This window comes from Homo sapiens, chromosome 8, assembly GCF_000001405.40.
Source record: "Homo sapiens chromosome 8, GRCh38.p14 Primary Assembly".
Taxonomy (NCBI): domain Eukaryota; kingdom Metazoa; phylum Chordata; class Mammalia; order Primates; family Hominidae; genus Homo; species Homo sapiens.
The window spans coordinates 35858774-35861608 of NC_000008.11; the positions used below are offsets into that span (position 1 = coordinate 35858774).

General features: G+C 40.1%; 1 annotated feature.

Annotated features, from left to right (window-relative positions):
• Positions 1409 to 2608: an enhancer, noted in NCBI's record as "BRD4-independent group 4 enhancer chr8:35717700-35718899 (GRCh37/hg19 assembly coordinates)". NCBI's record gives its function as "activates an origin of replication core promoter dependent on BRD2, P300/CBP, MED14 and CDK7 cofactors, and independent of BRD4, by STARR-seq in HCT116 cells {active_cell/tissue: HCT116}" and the evidence as "EXISTENCE:reporter gene assay evidence [ECO:0000049][PMID:35650434]".

Sequence of the window (2835 nt, forward strand, 5' to 3'; positions counted from 1 at the left end):
AAATGTTGGATGATTAATATTTCTTCTCTCATTTTACAAATGAGAAACTGGGTTTTAGAGTATCTAAATGACTTATTCAATAGCTATTGAGTGATGGGGCCAAGATACAGGGATACATATTGATTGCCCAAGATGGTAGCTACCCAACCTTGAGCCTGTTATCAAAATTCTTCCTTGCATCACTTACCTGTCAGACATGTCTTCAAGTTAGCATTCACTGTCTATGCTTGAGTTTCTGAAAGATGGCCTTCACACAGGCTGCTGAACACAGCCACATAGGTTGTCTACTGCATGGATTAGGCAGTGTATGTGTTCCAAAGCCATGCAGTTTGCTACTATGTGCACAATTCCCCTAAGCAGGCCCAGTCTTTTAGGAAGTATGGCTTCTGGAAGAGCATTCTCAGGAAGTATGTGGTTTCTAAGAGTCCAGGTCCTTTCTTCGTACATATCACAGACATATAGTTTACACATTCTTTAAACATCTCAGGCAGTTGGTAAAACAATATTGGTTGTCAGAACCACAGGACTGTAACCTGTGCATGCTGACAATGAACATACAACAACAACAAAAAAACAGAGGCCCTTTGTAAAAACTAAATGCAAGTGAATAACACATAGTTCCATTGACATTAAGTACATGACACTTCCTTTATCATGAGTATAGGCCTAAAGCCCATAAACAATAAATCCTGAATGTGTTCACGATAAGGTCCCTAGTGGGTCTTACTCCTACAGCCTTTCAGCATTCCTCCACTGATTCAAAACAAAAGACAATCAAGGGTGGGTCTTAGAATAATTATTTTATGTGCTGAGAGACACTTTTGGTTGACCACTCAACTGTTTCTGTTCTTCCTATTTCTATTGTGTTTGGGTGTTCTTTCACCATCTTCCATATGACTTGGAATTAAATTCTTATTAGTCTAAGTTAATCATAGTGTCCCATTTCCTTGCCAGCAACTGGTTAACAGGTGGGTATCTGGCCCAGTTCTAGACAGTAGAATATGAGAAGAGACCTGCTGGAGGCCTTCTGGGAGAGGGCTCCTTATCCCTAAAGAGAGATATAAGGGGAAGAAGAATCCCTTTTGTTCCTTCCACTAGTCTGGATTCCTGGAACTGTAGCATATCTTGCAAGCTAGAGAAACTTCGCTTTTCCTGTCTTGAGGCTTTTAGAAAACTTTGAATTTAGCTTTTATTTTTATCAAAATATATGTGCATACTTGAAAAGAATCAAGTGATCTACAAGACTTATTCTAATGATAAACAATTCTTTGACTCACCCATTCCCATTCAATTTATTCAGCAGAGGGAGCTGTTTTGAACTCTTAGTTTTCTTCGGTTTACCTCCATGTTTCTAAATATAACAACATTGCTACTTCTTAAATTTTAAGTTTTAGATACTTTTAAATTTTCTTTGATGAAAGATGATTTAACTCTTACAACTTCCACATAACTTCTACCAACAGCTCTATCCTCCTAATATATTCATTCATTAAATATTCAGTTTTTACAGCTGAGCCAAGTGGGGCAGATCACATTGTCTTCTTTTATCACTTTTGGTCTTCCTTAGAGTTAATAGTTGCCTCAATATTTTTCTTTGCATAGTTTTGTTTTTAAAATGTACGCCACCAATTTATTTCTAAGTTCTTTAACAACACTGGAAAACTGCTCTCAATATGGTCAAGCTCACCGTCTATCAGCTCCATTTTTTTCTACACAGTGTCTCAATGCTGGCAAAGGAAATGATAGCCTATATAATGAAATTCTGAGGAATGTTAATGTGTCTCCTCTTCCTCCTCTTTAAACATCTATGCCATTGTCTAAATTGATATTTTGTATTTTTCTTTCTTTACTTTTTTCTTTTAGAGACAGGGTCTCATTGTCACCCAAGCTGGAGTACAGTGGTGCAATCAAAGCTCACTGCAGCCTTGAATTCCTGGGCTCAAGGAGAGTTGAAATAGGCCAAGAAAGGCTTGATTTTGGCCCACTGAGTAAGATTTCATGCAGCGTCCTGTCTTTCTCCTTCTGCTATTTCCAGCCTTGAACTCCTGGGCTCCTCCTGCCTCAGCCTACCAAGTAGCTAGGACTACAGGCATGTACCACTATGTCTGCTAATTTTAATTCTGCTTTTTGTGGAGATGGGGTCTTGCTATGTTGCCCAGGCTGGTTTTGGATTTCTGGGCTCAAGAGATCCTCTCATCTTGACCTCCCAAAGTGCTAGGATTACAGGTGTGGGCCACTAATTGCCAGCCTTGGATTTTTACTTTTGACACGTCATTTCCTCATATTAGTCATGAGGTTCTCCTGATGACCGTCTTTGAAAATGTGTGCACATGTAACAGGAAGAACATGTTGAGTCATCTACCTGGTTGCGTGTGTGGGTCTCACATATCTCTTCTTCTGTGGCTACGGGAGGGAGTGGTGAAGAAAAGAGAATGGGCAGGCAGTAACAGTGATGAAGCCAGCTCTTGTTTTACAGATTCACTCTGCACAGCTCAACCAGAGTGTTCTCTATACACTTTTTGAAGCACCCAGCAAAGGAGAGAGCGTTAGTCAGATTTGAGACAGGTAACATTTATGGCCTTTCATCCCTTGGAATGCACAATAAATGGGTCTTGCCTTAAAGGCCACCACTATCAGTCTAGTTTGTGTTTCAAGACTTCCCCCCACCACAGGTGAATAGCAATGATCACACACACACACACACACACACACACACACACACACACTCTTCCATGAACATGCAAACATATCTCTGTACACAGAGATGCATCTAAAGGAGAGTTGAAATAGGCCAAGAGGGGCTTGATTTTTGCCTGCTGAGTAATGCAGCATCCT